The sequence below is a fragment of the Homo sapiens genome, chromosome 3 (genome assembly GCF_000001405.40).
Source record: "Homo sapiens chromosome 3, GRCh38.p14 Primary Assembly".
Classification (NCBI taxonomy): domain Eukaryota; kingdom Metazoa; phylum Chordata; class Mammalia; order Primates; family Hominidae; genus Homo; species Homo sapiens.
In genome coordinates, this window is record NC_000003.12 from 177,347,156 (window position 1) to 177,368,175 (window position 21,020).

At 45.1% G+C, this 21,020-nt stretch overlaps 9 annotated features.

Moving 5' to 3' along the window:
• Positions 4,552-4,611: an enhancer, noted in NCBI's record as "active region_20841". NCBI's record gives its function as "activates an Ori minimal core promoter by ATAC-STARR-seq in GM12878 lymphoblastoid cells {active_cell/tissue: GM12878}" and the evidence as "EXISTENCE:reporter gene assay evidence [ECO:0000049][PMID:35858748]".
• Positions 10,960-11,159: an enhancer, noted in NCBI's record as "active region_20842". NCBI's record gives its function as "activates an Ori minimal core promoter by ATAC-STARR-seq in GM12878 lymphoblastoid cells {active_cell/tissue: GM12878}" and the evidence as "EXISTENCE:reporter gene assay evidence [ECO:0000049][PMID:35858748]".
• Positions 11,280-11,519: an enhancer, noted in NCBI's record as "active region_20843". NCBI's record gives its function as "activates an Ori minimal core promoter by ATAC-STARR-seq in GM12878 lymphoblastoid cells {active_cell/tissue: GM12878}" and the evidence as "EXISTENCE:reporter gene assay evidence [ECO:0000049][PMID:35858748]".
• Positions 11,280-11,700: a biological region, named in NCBI's record as "Sharpr-MPRA regulatory region 9868".
• Positions 11,406-11,700: an enhancer, noted in NCBI's record as "tiled region #9868; K562 Activating DNase unmatched - State 1:Tss". NCBI's record gives its function as "activates a minimal TATA promoter and a strong SV40 promoter by Sharpr-MPRA in K562 cells {active_cell/tissue: K562}" and the evidence as "EXISTENCE:reporter gene assay evidence [ECO:0000049][PMID:27701403]".
• Positions 12,374-13,215: an enhancer, noted in NCBI's record as "OCT4-NANOG-H3K27ac-H3K4me1 hESC enhancer chr3:177077317-177078158 (GRCh37/hg19 assembly coordinates)". NCBI's record gives its function as "activates a minimal SCP1, AML or CMV promoter by ChIP-STARR-seq in naive and primed H9 embryonic stem cells {active_cell/tissue: H9 hESC(naive and primed)}" and the evidence as "EXISTENCE:reporter gene assay evidence [ECO:0000049][PMID:30033119]".
• Positions 12,726-13,020: an enhancer, noted in NCBI's record as "tiled region #36; HepG2 Activating DNase unmatched - State 1:Tss, and K562 Activating DNase unmatched - State 1:Tss". NCBI's record gives its function as "activates a minimal TATA promoter and a strong SV40 promoter by Sharpr-MPRA in HepG2 and K562 cells {active_cell/tissue: HepG2 | K562}" and the evidence as "EXISTENCE:reporter gene assay evidence [ECO:0000049][PMID:27701403]".
• Positions 14,311-14,510: an enhancer, noted in NCBI's record as "active region_20844". NCBI's record gives its function as "activates an Ori minimal core promoter by ATAC-STARR-seq in GM12878 lymphoblastoid cells {active_cell/tissue: GM12878}" and the evidence as "EXISTENCE:reporter gene assay evidence [ECO:0000049][PMID:35858748]".
• Positions 18,690-19,191: an enhancer, noted in NCBI's record as "H3K4me1 hESC enhancer chr3:177083633-177084134 (GRCh37/hg19 assembly coordinates)". NCBI's record gives its function as "activates a minimal SCP1, AML or CMV promoter by ChIP-STARR-seq in naive H9 embryonic stem cells {active_cell/tissue: H9 hESC(naive)}" and the evidence as "EXISTENCE:reporter gene assay evidence [ECO:0000049][PMID:30033119]".

A 21,020-nucleotide genomic window follows, 5' to 3' on the forward strand; every position in this document is an offset into this window, starting at 1 on the left:
ACCTAAGGCAGTAACAGGTGTTGGGTAAAGTGCTCCTGCAAAATATTTTTAATATTACAAAGAAGCAGAATAAAGATATGACAGCCATGTGTGAAAAAGTAAAATTCTGTGAAGATTAAGACAAGAGTAGGTTTAAGTACTTTCTTAGTTGCTATTCTGGGTAAAAATTCAGCTGACAGACTAGGATGAAAGCCTAGGTACGTCAATGATTCTTTGGATTCTTCTCAGTTAACTCAGTGCTTTCTTCATGTCAGTCTTCCACTCAGAGGTCATTGTCTTTTGTTTGTTTGTTTAACTTTAACAAAGTTTATACTTCGTATTTAGGAAAAAAATCAATCCTAAAGGGCTACTTTCAACATGGCGATATACATTATTTCAGTTAAATTCTTCGAACAACCATAATATCTATTGTATACACACACATTATCTTTGCTAATAACAGCAATGCAATGAATAACTACAATAGTGATTTAGCATCAGCTCATGTTTATATAGCACTGCACCAGCACATGCATCTATTTTTTTTCTTATGTACATCTCAAAAGATACCTATGAGGCAAACAGGACCAAAAAACACTTTTTGAGCCTCTGTGTGATCCAGGCACGGTTCCAGGGTTACCTCTTTAACAGTGCCAGTACTACAGAGTTGAGGGAGGTGGGGGGTGGAGCAGAATTTAAGGAGGCCTTCACTCTCAGGGTCATGCCAGCAGAGGGTTAGCACCTGAGACCTGCCTCCTTAAATTGTGCATCCTAGGCACTTTGCTTGAAGAGACCTTCTTGATGGTGGAGTCTTGGTTGTTCTCAGGAAGGGGATGTAGGTAGCTGGTGGACAGGGGCAGAAGAGAGATTTGTCTCTTTGTCCTTCCTCATCATTTGGATTGTATACTATACACAATTGTCCACTCAAAATCAAATTAGACAGCCACCACACTTACTCCCCCATCCATACTCTCAACTGATGAACTTGTCTTCAGTGAGAAAACTGACCAATCAAAAGGCAACATGGATGAGCCTAGAGGACATTATACTAAGTGAAATAAGCCAGAAAGAGAAGGAAAAATACACATCTCACTTGTATGTGGAATCTTAAAAAAAAAAGTCAATGACATAAAGGAGAAAATAGTGGTTGCCAGGGTGGGCTGGGGGAAAGAGGGCAAGGGAGGAGGCAGGAAATGGGGAGATGTAGAGTCAAAGGGTACAAAGTTGCAGTTACATAGGATGAGTGAGTCTAGACATTTAAGGTACAACAGGAGGACTATAGTAATACTATTGCACTGTGTACTGGAAATTTGCTAAGGGAGTAGATTTTTGGTGCCCTTGTAACAACAACAAGAACAATGCCAGGCGTGGCGCTCATGCCTGTAATCCCAGAACTTTGGGAGGCTGAAGTGGGTGGATCATTTGAGGTCAGGAGTTCAAGACCAGCTTGGCCAACATGGTGAAACACCGTCTCTACTAAAAATACAAAAATTAGCCAGGCGTGGTGGCAGGCACCTGTAGTCCCAGCTACTGGGACGCTGAGGCAGGAGAATCGCTTGAACCGAGGAGGCAGAGGTTGCAGTGAGCTGAGATCTATGCCACTGCACTCCAGCCTGGGCGGCTGAGTGAGACTCCGTCTCAAAACAACAAAACAAAACAAACAACAACAACAACAAAAGGGAAATTACACGAGAGTGGATTTGTTAATTTTCTTAACTATAGTACCCATTTCACTATTTAAGTATATCAAAACATCATGCAATATACCTTAAATACATACAATAAAAAAAAAAAACGGACTCCTTAAATTCCCATGGTCAGCCAAAACAGTGCTTAAAACTAAGCAGTCAGCTCCCTAAATGTATGCTGAATATCAAACAGGCTTCTGCAGCTTCCCAAAGTTCTGTCCTTACCCTGTCTTGTAAGACTTCCCCGTTCAGGCTCCATGTGCTATCTTCACTACATGTTTTCCATTTCCACCACTGGTGTCTTGTTATTCTTCTGGCCTAAGATGCCCTCCCCCAACTTTAGCCCTCTGTGTCTTAACCATGCTTCAGTACAGCTCATCTCCCACCTCTCTGTTAAGCCTTTTTTGTCCCTTCCAACTTGTCAGTCATTTCTTCCCCTTTTCACAAATTTAGAACCTGGAGTGACCTCGGTGAAAGGTACAAGAGTTGGAATTTTGTCTGACATCACTTTGTGTCTCCCTCAACACATACACAATGCCCTGCACATAGCAGATGCTCAATAAAGACCTTTGGACTGGCTGAAGACATTTTTATAAATTCATGCAACTGGGAATATTGTGAGAGTGGTGGGGTCTAAATTCTCCCTCCCCTAACACTCCCATGGAAATCTGAATTTCTTAAATGTAATTGAAGAGAGCCTCAGGCTCGCACTGCTTATTTCTGCCAAGTGTTAATTATGTGTGGAATCCAAGGGGATTTCCATGTATGGATTACAGGGGTATTATGAGGGGACATTAAGAAAGGCAGCTGTGGAGCAGGAAGACACTCTTTTATAAACTTTCAAAGACCAGCAGTTTTCTAATTTCTTTTTGGGGAGAGATCTGTTCTCCATGTCCTTTGTTTGTGCTTAGCGAAAAAGTAGAGGATACTTAACTTCCAAGAAAAAACCTTTGTCTGATTAGCTCTTTGCATTATTAGGATTCAAAAAAGAAAAAAAAAAGGGAAAATTCTCAATCATTTTCTCTGAATTACAACTGCGAAGATATTGTAAACCCTCACATTGTTGTCTAGGTCTTCATCTGGCCAAAGCCAACCAGCGAGAGTATGTACAAGAATCTCATTCCAAAACATTTCTAAAAATGTTATTTTTAAAACAACTTTAACATTTCAAGTGAACGTAAAGTAATAGGATAAACCAGATTATCATCTGTTCTGTGTAGTCACTTGAAAAGCAACCTCTCCAACTTAAACATTTATTCCAACTTTGTTATTATTGCTCAAAATGAGACTGGTTTATCTTTGAAGCCACTTTTCCAGCTACAGAAAGAAAATAACTCCTTCTTTCATAGTCACACCTCATTTTAAAACTCAATCTAATCTGTATTAGCTTGATCATGTGCCTCCTTTACCACATTTGGCACCAGATGATTTTGGGCTGTTTCCCAAAAATGAAATCAAAGAACGAACATTTGCTAACATTAAAACTACTTCTGAAAAGCAAAGGATATAGACCCTGAAGGCAATTTCAAGAGAGGAGCCATAGAAAAGTTTTGAGTAATGGAATGAGTGTATTGTTGCCTGGGGTAGCTTTTTTATTTGAGACAATACTCATATTGACGTGGAAGAGTGTATATATTTCTTTACAATCAGTTTCCTCATCTTGTATGCACATCTGATATTTGAAACTCACTTTGAACTGAAGGAATGTTCTTAGTTGAGGAAGACTCTAGGTCATTGAAAAAAACAATTGGAAAGAAATTACATCCTGCCTAACTTAGAGAAAGATGAGTGGTAGGCCGGGCATGGTGGTTCGCGTCTGTGGTCCCAGCTACTTGGAAGGCTGAGATGGGAGGATCCTTTGAGCCTGGGAGGTCGAAGCTGCAGTGAGCCATGATTATGCCACTGCACTCTAGTCTGGGCAACAGAGTGAGACCCTGTCTCAAAAAAAAAAAAAAAAAAGAAAAGAAAAAAGAAAAAAAAGTAACAGGAAATATATCATTAAAAACTGCCAGATGGCAGGAAGTATTAGAACGACATAGACCTAGATTCAAATTACATCCCTTGTTTGCTACTTTGGGCTTGTTATTCAACGTTTCTAAGATTCCATTTATTTTTCTATATGATGGTGCTCTATTAAATGGGAACTTATATATACTTAACACAGAGCCTGGCAAATGTTAGGATATTAAGTACTCAAAAATGTTATTTTCATTTGCGAACAAAACATAATTTAGTAGAAAGAGGATCTTCAGGGACTTAAAACTTCTGAGTTCTAGTCTCATCTAATCATCCGGTGGCCTTGGCTAAGTCATTCAGACTTTCTGAGGTCCAGTTTTAAAATTACATTTGCAAAATTATATTATCTACTGTGATGATAAATTTTGTGTCTCAACTTGGTCAGTGGTGATCAGATTTGGTCAGACATTATTCTGGATGTTTCTGTGAGGGTGTTTTTGGATGAGATTAACATTTAAATTGGTGGATTTCAAGTAAAGCAGATTGCTCTCTATAATGTGGGTGAGCCTCATTCAATCAGTTGATGGCCTGAATAGCTCTCCCCAAGCAGGAAGGAATTCTGATAGCAGCTGGCCTTTGGACTTGATCTGCAATATTAGTGCTTTCCTGGGTCCCCAGCCTAATGGCCACCCTGTAGATTGTGGACTTGCCAAGCCTCCATAATTGTGTGAGACAATTTCTTAAAGTAAATCTTGTATGTATATCCTATAGGTTCTGTTTCTGTACAAAACCCTGACTAATATATCTACGCCAAGGATTTTTTGCCCCAGGGAGGAACAAAGGCAGTCATGTATGGAGCTCTGCCTGCCCCAGGCCTGGATCAGGGCAGTAGCTTCGTAGGCATCAGTTTTCTTTCCCTGTTCCTGCCCTTTGCTTGTTGAGCCTTAGTTTTCTTATAAGAAAAATGAACAGGTTAGACACATTAGGTAATATCTAAAGCCTCTTACAGATATGAAAGTCTGTGTATCTATATAAAATGAATTGCTTGGGCTGTAACATTCAAATACAGGCATGACCAAGTTGGGTTTCTGCCAAGAAAGAAGGGCATGGGCGTGCATTAAAGACTATTTATGTAGAAACAAACCTTTTCAGGGGTATGTAAAAGGTTCGGGGGACTAACGGGGAACTCCTGGTAGCCCTATAAATATACTTATAAGCCTGAATGCTTTCTCAGTGGTTGGGGGAAGTAAAGTATAATCTCTTACTGTATGTAGAAATAACTGGGGAAAGCACCTACTTTACCTGTTAGTGCCTTTATGTGTGTCCCTGTTCACCTACTTAAGTGACTAAACTGGGGAGAGCAGAGTCTTTTGATGGATTGTAAAGAACTCAGGGGAACAGGTTGAACATAACACTAACCTTTGATCTCTGAAAATTTAAGGTCCAACACAGTGTTTGTTAGAAGCATAAAAGTAGGCCCCAGTGTATTTTAACTATATTCGTAGCAATTCACCAGAAATTGTTCTAGTATATTTCAGGACATAAGTGTTCTTTCCTTTCTTAACCAGTGAAGTGGCTAGATACTTAAACATACTGGCTAGAGTACTTTGGATCTCTGAGTCTTAGATGAAATGATTGGGAAAATCCTTTTTAAGCTCTTTTGGGCTATATAAGGGTAAGTGATTGTTATTCTTAACAATACACACTCAGGCGATACCAGTAGTCTGAGGCTCAGTTGAAAGAAGTCTGGCTAAGAGGGCTTCCTTCCCAACGTCGGAGTTTCATATTTTCTTTCTGGCACACTCTGGGAGCCCTTGTCAGGTAGGCCAATGAGCAAAGTTAGCAACTGCTCACACAGCTTGAATTCAGAGACTCAAATAAAGCTTCCTGCTCATCAGTCCAACTGCCCACAGCCAGCCACATGGGCTCTGAGCCACCAGGCTGTACCCTATTCTATTCCACGATGTTTCCAGAGCCATTTTAGGCACATTCACCATCATGACAGTTCACTGCTTAAAAGATTCATTGCTTTTCCATTCCCTGTAGGGTAAAACCCAAACACCTTAGTATCCATAACATACAAGGTCTTTGGAAAACTATGGCCTCTTATTTCTTTAGTTCCATCTCTGCTGTAATTATTGCCCACTCTTCCATAGCAAAATTCTAGGCTCTGGGCTGTAAACTGTCATTCTGAGATTTGATATTTATTCAGCAAATAATTAATGCATGCCAAGTAAGGAATATCGGGCACTGTTTTTAAGAGCTGGGGATATGTCAGTAAATAAAATGGAGGCTACGATGTAGGGGAAAATGAATGATGAACATTATATAGCATATTAGAAAGTGATGAGAACTATAAGAAAACCCAAGTGAGATAGGGAGCTTTAGTTATGCTGGGAGTGGGAATAGGGGGCTGCATTTTATATAGACAGCCCTCTCTGAGAAGGTGAGGGGATGTTTCACTTATGTAGCATTATTGTAACAACAGCGAGCTGATAAAGGGAGCAAGCCATACACACATTTTGAGGAACAGCTTTCCAAGCAGAAGCAATGCATATCTGGAAGGTCTTGAGACAGGAAGCAACTACTGTGTTTAAGAAACAGCAAAAAGGCTGTGTGCTGAAATGCAGTGAGAAAGCAAGTGGATGGAAGGCGATTGGGAGCGGGTGGACGCTGGGCAGCGGGACCCGATATAGTAGGACCTTGAATGCCACCGTCAGAACTTTGGCTTTGACTCCATCAAACAGCAACTGGACGGTTTTGTGCAGCAGAGTAACATGGCCCATCTTCTGTTCTCAAAGGACCCCTTGGCTGCTGTGTTGTGGACACACTGAAGGGTAGAGGTGGGAAGATCAGTTGGGAAGCTGTTGCAATAACCAGGAGAGAAGATTATGGTTTAGACCAGGGTAACAGCAGTGGAGGTGTAAGAGGCAGTCAGGTTAGGGATCTATTTTAACATTACAGCTGTAGGGTTTGAATGTGGAGTGTTCCAATATTCAGATGACGGAAGATGGGTATAGCAAAGGAATTAGCAAGGAGATTGAGAAGGTGCAGTCAGTGAAGGAGGAGAAAGATCAATAGAGTAGCAACCCAGATACCAAGTGAAGAAAGTGTTTCCGGAAGGAACCTGTAATTAGCTGTATCAGATGCTGCAGAGAAGTTAACTAGGATCACCCTAAAAACTGACCACTGGACTTAGCAGTATGGAGGTTATTTATTTATTTATTTATTTTTTGAGATGGGGTCTTGCTGTGTTGCCCAGGCTGAAGTGCAGTGGCTTGATCTTGGCTCACTGCAACCTCTGCCTCCTGGGTTGAAGTGATTCTCCTGTCTCAGCCTCCCCAGTAGCTAGGATTACAGGTGTGCACCATCATGCCCGGCTAATTTTTGTATCTGTAATACAGATGGGGTTTCACCATATTGGCCAGGCTGGTCTCGAACTCCTGACCTCAAGTGATCCACCTACCTTGGCCTCCCAAAGTGCTGGGATTGCAGGTGTGACCCACTGTGCCTAGCCAGAGGTTATTATTAACCTTAAGAAGAGCAGTTTTGGCCGAGTGGTTGGGGGAAAATGCCTGATTGGCAACAAGTAGAAGAAAAAGGGAGAAGAGGAATGAACACAGTGAGCCTAGATAACCCTTCAGAGCATTGCTTAGCTACAGAGGGAGCAGAGTAATGAGGCAGTAGCTGGAGGGACAGGGGGGTCAAGAGAGACTTCCCTGAACACACACCTTTGTGCCTTTCTGAGATGCGTTTCTCCTCATTCACCTGGTGAACTTCCACTTTTTCTTGAGGAGTTAACTTAGGCATATCTGTACTGACCTTTCGCTACTATCTGCACTGATTAATCAAAAAGGACTTACTGTGTACCTATTATGAAATAGACTCTAGTCAATGAACTCATTAATGAACAAGGAGCAAGCCTGATACGATATCTGCGTTCCTGGAGATTATGTTCCAATGGGAAGACAGAGAAGACAGAAATAAATAAATAAAATAACTGATTACTACAGATCATGGTGAGTGTGTGCTGGCCATAAACTGAGTGGTGTGATAGAATGTAACATGTAGTGGTCATGGAAGACCTCTCTAGGGGGTTGATCACTGAACTGAAACCTGAAGGATACTGCCATGGAATGAACGTTTGTGTCCCCGCCAGATTCCTGTGTTGAAGCCCTAATCCCCAACGTGATGGTATTTGGAGGTGGGGTCTTTGGGAGGTGATCAGATCATGAGGGTGGCAGTCTCATGAATAGGATTAGTGCCTTTATAAGAACAGACATGGCCGGGTGTGGTGGCTCATGCCTGTAATCTCAGCACTTTGGGAGGCCGAGGTGGGCAGATCATGAGGTCAAGAGATCGAGACCAGTCTGGCTAACACGGTGAAACCCCGTCTCCACTAAAAATACAAAAATTAGCTGGGCGTGGTGGCGGTGCCTGTAGACCCAGCTACTTGGAGGCTGAGGCAGGAGAATCGCTTGAACCCGGGAGGTAGAGGTTGCAGTGAGCTGAGATCACGCCACTGCACTCCAACCTGGTGACACAGCAAGACTCCGTTTCAAAAAAAAAAAGAAGAGACATGAGGCCTGGTGTGTTGGCTCATGCCTATGCCTGTAATCCCAGCACTTTGTAAGGCTGAGATGGGTGGATCACGAGGTCAGGAGTTTGAGACCAGCCTGGCCAACATGGTGAACCCCATCTCTACTAAAAATACAAAAATTAGCCAGGTGTGGTGGCAGGTGCCTGTAATCCCAGCTACTCAGGAGGCTGAGGCAGGAGAATCACTTGAATCCTGGAGGTGGAGGTTGTAGCGAGCCGAGATCACTGCATTGCGCTCCATCCTGGGCAATAGAGTGAGACTCCGTCTCAAAAATAAATAAATAAGAGACATGAGAAAGATGATTTCTCTCTCTACTACGTGAGGATATAGCAAGAAGGTGTTCACCTGCAAACCAAGAAGAAGGTTCTCACCGGGAACTGAATTTGCCAGCCCTGTGACCTTGGACTTCCTAGCCTCTAGAACTGTGAGAAATAAATGTGTTATTTAAGCCACCCTGTCTATGGTTGTGTCAGGCTGTTTTTGCATTGCTATAAAGAAATACCTGAGGCTGGGTAAATTATATAGAAAAGAGGTTTAATTGGGGCATCGTTTTGAGACAGTACAGGATATGTGGTGCTGGCATCTGCTTCTGGGGAGGCCTCAGGAAGCCTACAATCATGGAGGAAGGTGAAGGGGAGCAGGCACGTCACATGGTGAGAGCAGGAGCAAGAGAGAGTGCAGGGAGGTGCCACACACTTTTAAACAACCAGGTCTCATGAGAACTTATTATTGTGAGAATAGCACCAAGAAATTCATGAGTGATCGGCCCCAAACACCTCCCATCAGGCCCCGCCTCCAACACTGGTGGATTACAATTCAACATGAGAGTTGGAGGAGACAAACATCCAAATTGTATCAATGGTATTTTTTGTTATAGCAGCCTGAACGATCTAAGACAGATATAGAGAAGACAGATATAGAGGAGCCAGCTTAGGAAGGGCCAGAGAGTCTTCCAGGCAGAGGGAACCAACTCTAAGAGCAGAGGCCTTAAGATAGGAAGAAGTAAAGTGGTGAAAGAAAAGGGTCTCATGTGGCAGGGGTGGCCTGAGCTAGGAGAAGGTGGAGGGAATGAATAAAAGGAGGAAATGACCTAAGGCATAGGAGGCCTAGACAAGGAGTTTGAGTAGTGCTCTCAGTGTAGTGGGATTTTGGCAGAGGTTACTGCCCCTGAGCAGAGGAGAGATGCAGATGTCTTTGTTGCATGGTGGCAGTATAGATGGAGAAGGGCATGCATACAGACAATTTTGGAGGGAAACCAGCTGATGGATTGGGTGTAGTGAATGACAGAAAAGAAAAAATCAGGGCTGGGCATGGTGGCTCAAGCCTGTAATCCCAGCACTTTGGGAGGCCGAGGTGGGCAGATCACCTGAGGTCAAGAGTTTGAGACTAGCCTAGCCAACCTGGTGACACCCCATCTTTACTAAAAATACAAAAATGAGCTGGATGTGGTGGTGGACGCCTGTAATCCCAGCTACTGAGGAGGCTGAGGCATTAGAATCCTTGAACCCAGGAGGCGGAGGCTACATTGAACCAAGATCATGCCACTGCACTCCAGCCTGGGCAACTGAGCGAGATTCTGTCTCAAAAAGAAAAAAAAAAAAATCAGGAATTGTCTCTGGGGCATGAGCAGCCAGCTGGATGTGGTACCATTATCTGGAAGTGAGATATCTAGAAAGAGGGAGAATGTAAGGCATAAGGATAAGAGAAAAAGTGGGGGTGGGAAATAGACACTGCTTGGAAAACAAAGTAACATCAGGGAGGTCTGGAAATAAAATGTTTCAAGTAGTTGGAAAGTCAACCAGATAAAATGCTGCTGAGAGACAGCAAGGGGTGCAGACTGAGAAATCATTAGTCTTAGCACTTACTCTTCCATAACCCTCAAAGCTTGTCTAACAGTGATTCTTTTCTGCCTTTCTCCTTCATTATATGATAAATTGCTAGAGGGTTTAGACCTCCTTTTAAATTCACCTTTATCTCTCTGGGCTCAACAGGGTGCCTTAGGAACAGGGTAGACTGCACAGTTCCTGACTGAAAATAACACTGGCAAGGAAACACCCCAAGGTGCTATCAGCTGCCAGATGCCAGAAGGAAATGGAAGGGCCTGGACTGCTCCCTAAAGAGCCTGACCCAGAAGCGGTGTGTAACAGGTTCCACTCAATGCCTTATAGGCTGAAAATTGCTCTGTCTTCTCAGAGCTAGAAAGGGTGTTCAGATAAGGCAGGGTGGGACCCTGACTCATGGACACACAATTAGCCGGCTTTTGTCTTTGAATCTGACTGGAAGTGACTCATGAGCTGGAAAAAAACCCTTTGGAAACAAATGAAGGGGGAAAAAAGGAGGGTAAGCCACGACTGCATTTTACTCTGTTAAAATGCAGATCTGCTGTCCTATAAATGTAGAATACTGTACATTTCCTCAGCCTCCCTCCAACAAAGACCCAGGGGAAATTATTAAGCCTGACAATTCACTCATTTTCTCCAAGATTTTTATTAAATGCAATTTAGAGGGGATAAAGTTTCTTCTCTTTTCTCTTTCTATTCACTTGAATAAGCCCTAATTACCACTAGGGTACAATAAATGGGCTTCTAGAAGTCTGTGGCAATTGGCGATGCTTCCCCTTTAAATTAACCAGTTGAAGCCTCCAGTTTCAACAGCCACCAGGGCACTTCCCGTCCACTCACAACTTGCTCAGTGCAATCTGAAGAGCATTTATTGAGCACCTTGTTATGGGGCACTGACATATGCTGCGGAGGATAGAAGACTTCTCGGGGGGTTATAATGGGGCTGGGGAGCTCTTGAACTCAACTGACATACTGTGTAAGTTAAACTAGTAAATGCCATGGGATTTTTGGATTAGAAGCAACAAAAACACAAACTAGGTTAAACAATAAGAATTTGTGGCAAAAAATAATGGGCTGTCGCAAGGAATCGGGGGCAGGCAGGGCTGTACCAGGGACACAGGAACCGATGCTGCCAATAACATTAGACTCCTGTTGGCCTCAGCGCTCTCTCCCAGCCTGTCTGGCTGTGGCTGAGGCTCTATCTTTGTTTTCTGCTCGATCTTTATCTCTGTTTCTGCCTTCAGATTGGCCTTGCCTCTCCTCTCCTGACCATGGGAAACATGGTCATGTATGTTATAATATCTTGCAGTTTTAGCCCTGGGGAGAAACTGACTTTTTCACTTCCAGTTTCAAAATTTCCCAAGAAGGCTTTTGATTGGATTCAAATATGTCAGCTCTTCCCGCTGGGACCAATCCCCTGTGGCAAGGTGGGGGAGGGAAATTTGAGAAGGGCCGTGAATGGTCCAGCTTAGGTCAGAGGTACAGTTTCCACGTCCCCACCCCCACCCCCGCCCCGTCAACAAAACAGCTCTGCCCTGTAAGCCTGTGGGTGTGGGTGAAGGTGGAAGTGGGTCGGAAGAGGCTGCGGGCTCCACTTTGCCAGGAGTGTAGGGGGAAGGGCTGAGTTGAGGAAACAATGGGTCTAGCACTTCTGCTGACCTTGTTTTCAGAAACAACCACAGGGCCTCTGGCCCCAGTGGAACTTGACTCATAAAGGCGAGAGACTTGACTATTGAAAAAGGTCTCCTATGAAATCTGAATTTCACTTAATCCTCAGAACAACTGTTGAGGGGGTTGTTACTACTCCCATTTTAAGACGCGGGCTGTAGAGAGGGTAACCACCCTGTCCACATTCACACAGCGAACACGTGGTGGGGCAGGGCTCAAGTCCAGGCGATTCCAAAGTCCCCCCGTGCTGTTTGCGCCACGCGGTGCTCCCACCAAGCCCACTCCGCGGGGAGAAAAACCATAGGCCTCGGAGGAGGAGCGGCTCCTCGCAGTGGGGTGGGGCAGAGGCCAGCATGAGGCCTTGTTCACTGGAGGATTCCACAGGCCTGGAACGGAAAGAATGAGAGCTCTGCAGGCAGGCAGAGCCCAGGGCGCCCAGTGCCCCCAGGCTGCGACAGCCAAGTCGGTGGGCGCGCATGGCGGGGCTTGAAGGAAAGGTCCAGAGCCGGTGGGAAAGGCCACGCCCCGGGGTAGAGCGCTTCCTTCCAGATCCCGGCCTTTAACTGCAATTCCGTTTTAAGGGCAACCCTGCCCGGTTCACACCTAGCCTTGAAGATGACAGATTGCACTGTGAGCAATTTGCAGGGTGAGAACGGGAGCCTACGACTCCGCACCTGCACTGCCAGAGCCATAAATGCAGCAAATCATGGCCTATAAAATGTCACCACTGCTGAAGTGCAATTTTCCAGGGGTCTTCTGCAGAGGGAACTCCACCACGGAGAGCGACCCTCGGCTCTGCAGCCTAAGAGGAAGGCCCCTGCAGGGTGGGGGAGGGAACAGGGAGGTCTTCCTCCCCATCCCCTTCGTGCCACTGCTCCCCCCTTTGTGACCCCACTCTGCCACGTGGTAAAAGCTTCCGGGGGGAGGCATTAGTTATTTCTGTCTGAGGAGTTTTTGACCAAACGTAAACATCAGAGGAGCGGGAACCCGAGCCCCGCCTGGGCTGGGCGGCAGCGACCCCGACGCCGCGGCGGCAGAGCCGGAGCTCGAAGCAGCCGCCGCTGTTGCGAGCCGCCCCTCCCCCGCCAGGCTGGCGAGCCCATTTTCGCTTGGCCGGTCTCCGCGCTGCCGGATGGATTGCGCCCCACCCCCGCTCCTCTGCTCAGTCATTCAGACTTGGAAAGTCAATAACACGCTGACATCATCAGGGGTTTGTGTATTATTACACGGCTACTTTCCAGAGTACCTGGCATTATCTAAGAGAGGAGCACTCCGGCTGCCCAAGAAAGGGCCTGAACTGGGAGCTTGGCGGCCTCGGGGAGGGGCGGCTGCTCAGAGCCAGGCCTTTCCCTAGTGGGGAGGGCATCTGCAAGGCACAAATTAGAAACAGACTATGAGCTTTTGCTTCACTAAATGCAGATGCACTTTAGATATCGATACATGCTTCATTTTGCCTTCGGGTGCACTTATAAATCATCCTTAAGTGACCTCTATTTCTACCAAAGACATCCACTTGGTCTTTAAGAAGCATTCTTAGTGATCCTCACAAAGGAAAAAAAAAAAAAGGAGATATCTTCTGTGACAGGAAGCCAAAGGCTGATTTTCTTTTTTTTTTTTTTGAGACTCTTGGAGTGTGTGTGTGTGTGTGTGTGTGTGTGTGTGTGTGTGCGCGCGCGCGCGCGCGATTCTCTGTTATGTAATCGCCATCACGGGTGATTAGGTCTTCTAGGTCTTTCCCTCCAGGGCTGAACTGGATGGTTTGGTTGCTGTGTTTTTCTTAAGCCTCACACAGGGCAAACACACATGAAAAACATGTCCCAGATTTATGGCGCAAAACTGCTCTCCAAGCAAATTGCCTTAGAAGACTGTCTCGGTTTTGGAGGAAGGAAATAGATGAATTTGTTGCTAATTAAGACTCCTTATCTTACTACTCTGGCATTTCCTTTTTTCTAGAACGAATTTTTAAAAATAATTTTATGTAGTTTAGATGTTCCCTCCCTTCCCCCTTGCTGTAATGGTACTTGAAATAGCTTAAATAACTAATTGTATAGACAACTGTACTTTTGTTCTACACACACACACACACACACACACACACACCAGTTAACGTGAAAGGCAGTAACTCATACAACATGGTACCTTTTCTGTTTGGCCATACAGACTGTTTCCTTCTTTACACACACAGGGCTGATCTCATTTAAATTCTCTTAGCATCTTAAATTGCAAAAAATGGCAGCCAGCTGAAAACTGGCTACCTGGAGAATTACAAGGGGAGAGAGCTGTTCTTTGGCCTCATCTTAATCTCTCTGTACCTCAAGCAGGGAGTCCATCTCTGATAAAAGTCTTTAGAGCTCCCCAGGAGGAAGCGAAGCAGACATGTTTTTCAACAATGTAACAATTTCCCTATGTGTACTTGATCATTTCGGGAGAACTTGTAGTAGATTATGACTACTTCCCTCCAGATGGTCTGACGGAAAAACTCTCCCACCAGACTTGCACTTCTAAAATCACTTCCCCAGGCCTGGCCCTCCCACCCCACCCCCATTTCCCCTTTCGGAGGTGCAGGCAGCTGGGGAGGCCTGGAACACCAGACCTCCAAGATGGCCCAGCATGTGTTGAGTCTGGAGGCTGAAGCTGCTGAAGTGGGGAAGGGTCGGGGCACTCGCCTCCAACTGGGAGCTATTTACCTAGGGGGTTTCCCTCAGCTCAGAGAGGAGCATGCAGACCTGACAGTCTGTCTTTTTGGTTCTCAAGATGAAGAAACTCTTCAGTCTCTAAGCACTTCCGGTTTTTAGCCCAGCTGACCCTCTCGTCTTTGCCTTAGCCTCTCCCAGACACAACTGCCTACTATAGGGATCCGTGCTAGGGAAGGACGTGGGCCACCTTGCTTTGGGTGCTGAGCTTCGGCAGCGGGCAACGGACTTCCTACCCTAGAGTTTCTGCCTAAGCAGGGGAGGACAAAGTCTGGAGGATCAGCTTGGATAGAACCTGATAAGTAGGAGGCAGGCTACCAGTTGCCAAAGTTCAGCACCCCTAACTAGAGGCTGACAAGGTTCTTTGCCTAGCAAGGAACCTTATATTTGGCAGAGGAGGAGAGAATTCAGTGAAGAAGAGCCATGTTGGGGGGATGGAGGAGCAGGAGTCTCTGCCCTGGACAAGCTCAGTGTGTTGGAACAGGTAGACACAGAAATGACCGCCTGAGAGCATGCCCTCTGCCCTTCAGTGAGGGCCTCTAAGGGGCTGGTCCTCCTGTGCTGTGGGAGGGAGAAGGAACTCCAGGTGACCGTGGCATCAGGCTATTCCTCCCACAGCTGGCCCTGGAGGAACCCTGGTAATCTGATGGGCTAGGAGCGGTCCTCCGGGAGTGACATTATTTCCCCCGTTCCTCTGGTTCTTTACTGCCAAATATTTGTCAGCTGGAAAGAACTGGTTGCATTTTGATTCATAGGCTTGTCTCTTTCAGGCGGTCCATGTGACGATTCTAGACACGGAGATTCAGTTATCAAATACAGCATCCTCCAGTGGTCCGCTTGCTTTGATGAAGACCACAGCAATGCTTCTTAAACTGTCATGGGCAAGATTTTTAATCTACTGCCCACTGATATTTTTGTTTCTAAAAAATTAGGGAAATAAAACAGATGTATAAGATACAAGCCAATTTTTTATTATTAGATTCAGAAAATTACATGACAAAATTACCCTGTCAAACTGTTATGGCTATTTCTAAGTGTTATTCTCAGTTGCTATGCACATCTCATTGTGGAATGCAAGAAACAGTTGTTGAACCTGGGACCACACTTCCAGTTGCACTGGTGCAGACATTGAACGTGGATTTAGCTCCCATTTGTATTTAGGTTAGCCTGAACAGTTGTTTTTAGAAAAGTTGGATTAAAAATCCAGAGGATTCACAGGAAAATCCAGCTTTTCCTGAAAAGTAAAAAGCTGCAGGCAACAGAAGCCTTGTCAACAATTGGGTGGGGCTGGATAGCAGCTGCCCCTTTGAAACCCGGCACACAGCCTTCTGTTGCCTACAATTCCAGCCTCTCCCTCTTTTCTCACCCATAGGCAGGTTCCCTCATTTAAGCTACTTGCTTGACTGCAGAAAGCATTTGAATCTGTGTATACCTTAGCAGGATATCCACTTGAAATGAGCTGCTTCAGTATTTTTCTAGCCTCCCCACAGGGAAAGACCACTCTGCAAAGGTCAACGGAACCCATCCAGTGTGGTTCCGAGACTGGAGGCTGTAGTGTAGTACAGAGTTGCTGTGAATCACTGGGTGTCCTAGATATTCTCTAGATAAGTGGATCATATACTTCACATCTATATGGGTTAAAATCTTTAGATGCTATTTTGATGAATATAACAATTCATTTAATAATTTTAAGTGTTACTGAATACCTACTAGTTTGTTTTTTTGTTACTTGATTTTTCTTGGTTAATAGGTATAGAAAGTAAAACTATGACTGCTTTTATTTTTAAAATGTTCAAGAAGGGATACTTCCTTATGAAAAGGTTAGGGGACTGCTATTCCATATTAGTTGTCAGCATCACACTGTTTTGTGCATGTACCCCCTAAAAGAATCTTGAAAAACAATGTATTCCGGGCTCTTTTTAAAAATGATAGCTACAGTTTGGCATCCTAAGTGGAAGTTGTTGCAAAGGAAATAATATCTAGTATATTGCAAAAAGTTGACATTTTAACATAACATCACTTTAAAAAATGTATCCAATAGGATCCAAATACCACAGCAATCGGATACCCATCATCGTTCACTTAAAAAATTCATGAGCAAGCTCTTCTTTAACACTGGCAGGTTTTATATCATTTTTTTCTCCTCGAATTGATGTAGCCATATTTATATCTCATCAACAAAATAAATATAAATTTTAATTAAAAAATTATGTGTGATTATATGGCTCTAAGAGTAAAAGATTTTTTTTTTGAGACAGAATCTTGCTCTGTTGCCCAGGCTGGAGTGTAGTGGCGTGATCTCAGCTCACTGCAACCTCCACCTCCCGGGTTCAAGTGATTCTCCTGCTGCCTCCTGGGTTCAAGTGATTCTCCTGCATCAGCCTCCTGAGTAGCTGGGATTACAGGCATGCGCCAGCATGCCCAGCTAATTTTTGTATTTTTAGTAGAGACAGGGTTTTACCATGTTGGCCAAGCTGGTGTTGAACTCCTGACCTCAAGTGATCCGCCCGCCTCAGCCTCCCAAAGTGCTGGGATTATAGGTGTGAGCCACTGCGCCCGGCCAAAGTGTTAACTTTTATTGATAATATATATATTAATCAGGAGAATATGGCTTTTCTTCCAATTAGCTTATGTAGCTATGGTTGACTAATATTATCTATTACTAGACTGACAAGTTCAGCATCAATTCTGTTTCTAATTTGTTGTTCACATATGTGCGTGCACGTGCACAGACATACTCAAGAAACTTGATAACATATATAGGTGATGTAAGTAGTTTTTTTAATAGCAATATTATCCCCAGATTCTCCAAACTCCTTCTGAATCATTTGTCAAAGATCTCATGGCTTGCCAGAAATCAGTTGTGATGAAACTCTATTTCAGTCTTGTGGAGAGCAAAGAATAAGAAGCCATCTGATGAGCAAAAGTACTTATTTTAAGTCATTGGAATGATTCTTCCTCTACATTGATTTTTTTTTGAGGCAGTGTCTTGCTCTGTCACCCAGGCTGGAGTGCCGTGGCGCCATCCTGGCTTACTGCACCCTGGCTCAAGTCATCCTCCACCTCAACCTCCCAAGTAGCTGGGACTACAGCTATATGCCACTGCAGCAGGCTAATCTTTATATCTTTTGTAGAGACAGGATTTTGCCATGTTGCCCAGGCTGGTCACGAACTCCTGGACTCAAGCGATCTGCCTGCCCCATGAGCCATCATGCCTGGCCATCTCCACACTGATTCTGAGACCTAATTCTTCCTTTGCTGGTGCTCATGGTTGGGGCCATGCACCACAGTAAGATTTGGAGTGTGTCCAAGGTATGCATTTCTTCAGTAAAGTAGAAGGCAGGAGATAAAGAGGTCACCTTGATGTTAAGCTCTTTCTCAGACAGTTACACATATAAGTTGAGGAAATTGATTCCCTTAAAAGTGGACTTTTCTGTGTATCCCTTGGAAAGTCTTCATGCATCCACAGTTTGAAGACGGCTGTCCTAGAAAAAAGTCAGTTCTGGGTTCTTGCAGTAAACAGGAAAGAAGTGGAGGTCAATGTAGCCAGTGATTGTACTAATAACACATTATGTTTGAATTGTCGGCCCAGATGTATTTTGTGGCCCATTCTATGGGAGCTTAGGAACTGCGAAGGGGATCTTTCCCGGGAGCCTCTGGCTCCTCGTGGGGCTGCTGGTGGTTGGTGGCTAGACTAGCATTTACAGCACTGGCCTTTCTCATAGTTACCGTTTGGCTCAGGATGTCATTAGCTTGGTTCTTCCTTTTCCACTGAGATAATTTCAGTGAGAATAACCTGGACATGGTTGTGCTCCTCTTCACCCCACCCTTTCCCTCTACCATAGACTGAGTTGAAGAACTACTCCTATTCCTTCCTAGGTATGGTCAGCTGTCTCTCCTCACCCTTCATTCCCCATTGCACAAACCACCTTCTCAGGTTGTTGTTGTTTGGAAGAAGATAGTTCAAAGCGGGCTGGGCGTGGTGTCTCACACCTGTAATCCTAGCACTTTGGGAGGCCAAGGTGGGCAGATCACATGAGGTCAGGAGTTTGAGATAAGCCTGGCCAACATGGTGAAACCCTGTCTCTACTAAAAATACAAAAAAATTAGTCAGGGGTGGTGGTGCACGCCTGTAGTCCCAGCTACGTGGGAGGCTGAGGCAGGAGAATCACTTGAACCCGGGAGGTGGAGGTTGCAGTGAGCTGAGATTGTGCCACTGCACCCCAGCCTGGGCAACAGAGTGAGACTCCGTCTCACAATAAACAAACAAACAAATAAACAAAAGAAAATAGTTCAAAGGAAGCCACAAACTTTTTTTTTTTTTTTGAGACAGAGTCTCGCTCTGTCACCTAGGCTGGAGTGCAGTGGTATGATCTCGGCTCACTGCAACCTCCGCCTCCCGGGTTCAAGCAATTCTACCTCAGCCTCCAGAGTAGCTGGGACTACAGGCATGCGCCATCACGCCCGGCTAATTTTTGTATTGTTAGTACAGACGGGGTTTCACCGTGTTAGCCAGGATGGTCTTGATCTCCTGACCTCGTGATCTGCATGCCTTGGCCTCCCAAAGTGCTGGGATTACAGGCGTGAGCCACGGCACCCAGCCTAAGCCACGAATTTCTAAAGGAGATAGCTGGTAATCCAGCGTGCCCTTTTGTTTTTCTTTTTCTTTTTTCTTTTTTTTTTTCTTTTGAGACGGAGTCTTGCTCTGTCACCCAGGCTGGAGTGCAGTGGCGCAATCTCGGCTCACTGCAAGCTCAGCCTCCAGGGTTCACGCCATTCTCCTGCCTCAGCGTCCTGAGTAGCTGGGACTACAGGTGCCCGCCACCACACCTGGCTAACTTTTTGTATTTTTAGTAGAGACGGGGTTTCATCGCGTTAGCCAGGAGGGTCTCCATCTCCGGACCTCATGATCCGCCTACCTCGGCCTCCCAAAGTGCAGGGATTACAGGCGTGAGCCACTGGGCCCGGCCCGCCCTTTTGTTCTTTACTTGTATTTTCTTCTTTGTAGTTCTGGGGCTTTGCAAGAATTTCCAATATGAGCTAAAGCAGCCTCTGGAGGGTAAGCCGGTCTTCCGTGCTCCTGGCTATTTAATCTGTTCTCACCAATGAGAATACTGAGGGCTTTAAGCAGTCAGTTCCGGCTGGGGGCAGTGGCTCAGGCCTGTAATCCCAGCACTTTGGGAGGCTGAGGTGGGTGAATCACCCAAGGTCAGGAGTTCGAGACCAGCCTGACCAACATGGAGAAGCCCCATCTCTACTAAAAATACCAAATTAGCCGGGCATGGTGGCAGGCGCCTGTCATCCCAGCTACTTGGGAGGCTGAGGCGGGAGAATCGCTTGAACCTGGGAGGCGGAGGTTGCGGTGAGCCAAGATCGCGCCATTGCACTCCAGCCTGGATGACAGAGCGAGACTCTGTCTCAAAAAAAAAAAAAAAAAAGTTTCATTCTGGAGTCACCTTAGGGATTTGGGCTCCATTTTAGGGTGTACCTGAGAAATTCAGTCTAGGACACTTAAAATAATTTTAAATCAAATGTATTCTCTTAGATGGTGATTGGAGAGGATGAGATCACTGGAGGCTGTATACAAAGAGAAGAGAGACAGAAAACAAAACCCAGGGATCATATTAAACTAATACTTAAAAGGATCATCAGCAAAAGAGATTGGGAAGAAATAGCCAGAGAAGAAGACAGAAAACCAGGAATTTTTTGTTTGTTTGTTTGCTTTTTTTTTTTATTTTTTGCAAGGATGTTAAGGGTAGTAAGAGAATTCAACAGTGTGAAAACAGCTAACAGATCACAGAAATAAACCGTTGGTTCTGGCCTAAGGGGATGAGTAGCTGTCTTGGCAAGAGCAGTTTCTGGAGAGAAGTAGCAGGTGGGAAACTACAGTGGGTGAGAAGAAAGTGGGTGGTGTGGCCAAGGAGGCAGTTATTGGAGACAACCATTTATTTATTTATTTATGTTTGTTTGTTTGTTTTTTGAGACAGAGTTTCACTCTTGTTGCCCAGGCTGGAGTGCAGTGGCGCGATCTCGGCTCACTGCAACCTCCACCTCCCGGGTTCAAGCGATTCTCCTGCCTCAGCCTCCCAAGTAGCTGGGGTTACAGGCATTCACCACCACGCCCAGCTAATTTTTTTGTATTTTTAGTAGAGATGGGGTATCTCCATGTTGGTCAGGTTGGTCTTGAACTCCCGACTCCAGGTGATCCGCCTGCCTCAGCCTCCCAGAGTGCTAGGATTACAGGAGTGAGCCACCGTGCCTGGCCAACACAACCTTTTAATAAAGATTGCATTGTGTTGGAGGCATATATAGGTATATATGAAGACGGGCACTGCGTCAGCATACTAATAATGCGGATGATGGCAAGGAGCCAGCAGAGAGGGAGAGCTTTCAGCTGTGAAGAGAACAAGGACAAATAATAGTGGAAAGTGGGAGAAAATGTCAGAAAGGTTGCAATCTAGAGGGGAGTAAAATTTATGATGCATTGAAAGTCTCCCCCACTTCCTTTTACATGAGGATGAGAGAATAGAATGTGGAAACGAATATGTCTCCATCATCGCACTCACAGGGTGGTTTTCTGTTTAATTTGCTCACT